General features: G+C 45.0%; 1 annotated feature.

The window, feature by feature from the left end:
- Positions 321-822: an enhancer, noted in NCBI's record as "NANOG hESC enhancer chr16:51888422-51888923 (GRCh37/hg19 assembly coordinates)". NCBI's record gives its function as "activates a minimal SCP1, AML or CMV promoter by ChIP-STARR-seq in primed H9 embryonic stem cells {active_cell/tissue: H9 hESC(primed)}" and the evidence as "EXISTENCE:reporter gene assay evidence [ECO:0000049][PMID:30033119]".

Below are 1,057 nucleotides of genomic sequence, written 5' to 3'. Positions count from 1 at the left end.
CTAATTCATGCTATGTAGCTAAGGTTTATTTAGAGTTTAAGTAGGACCCTCCAGGAAACTTCTCTGTTTTTATCCAGGCCTTCAGTCTTCCATTTAAGACCTTAGCTGGCAATGTGATCCCTTTAAGTGTCACATTGATCCAGTACTCATTTTTGAAATGTTATAATTGAGAGGCAGCAGCATAGCAGAGAGATTAAGCACTGTCACTGCCAGGATCTGAACCCTAGATCCACCTCCTGCTAGCTGTGCAAATTTGGATAAAGCCCTCAGTCTCTGTGTGTCTCAGATTTTTTTAAATCTATGAAACGGACATGATAATGGTATTTGATTAAAACAGTAATTCATATAAGAAATTTGGAGCTCAGTGAAGACAGGCCTTCATTAATGAAATGAGCATGTGGGGCCCTGCTGATCAGGGATAACACTGCAGTGACTCCAGGAAATCAGCCATTGCTTTGGAATCTAGCCCCATCCCAGACTATGCAAGTACCCAAAGCAACTTCATGCTGTTCTGGAAAGCAAAGAACACATTTTAGTTTTGTGTATTAGGTGCTTGGCTTTACTAGGGCCAGCATTGTTCCAGCGCCTCCATGCCCAGCCCCTCACCCCAGCTTGGATGTCCTCTTCATTCCCCTAGGGCGGCATGTCTTCCTGCCTGTTACTTCTCTGCAGGCATCTTTCCCACAGCTCTGCAGGGATGTGCAGAGTGACACAGGGCTTCAATTGAAAAATGAGTGGTTAGTTGTGATGACAACTCAAACCACAATGCTGTCAAGAAGCCCTCGCTGGAGGAGCCCATGGGAGCAAGAGGAAGTCCCACAACCTCCCTATAATTTGTATCACACCAGGGAAGTGCAGAGTGGCTCCTACACAACTAAGATCCCTTCTGTTCACACACGCACAGCCCACTGACAGAATTCACTTGGGATACCAACTCCGGAAATGTTTCCAAGGCAAATGATTAATAGTAACAGGTCGAAATGCTTAAGAACCTAGCTGTACACCTTGCAGATCAAAATCCAGTGCCTGAAGTAGCGAATGAATTATATTCCGCAGC

The sequence above is a fragment of the Homo sapiens genome, chromosome 16, assembly GCF_000001405.40.
Source record: "Homo sapiens chromosome 16, GRCh38.p14 Primary Assembly".
Lineage (NCBI taxonomy): Eukaryota > Metazoa > Chordata > Mammalia > Primates > Hominidae > Homo > Homo sapiens.
The sequence above is the reverse complement of the archived record's forward strand: the minus strand, read 5'-3'. Positions and strand labels throughout refer to the sequence as shown.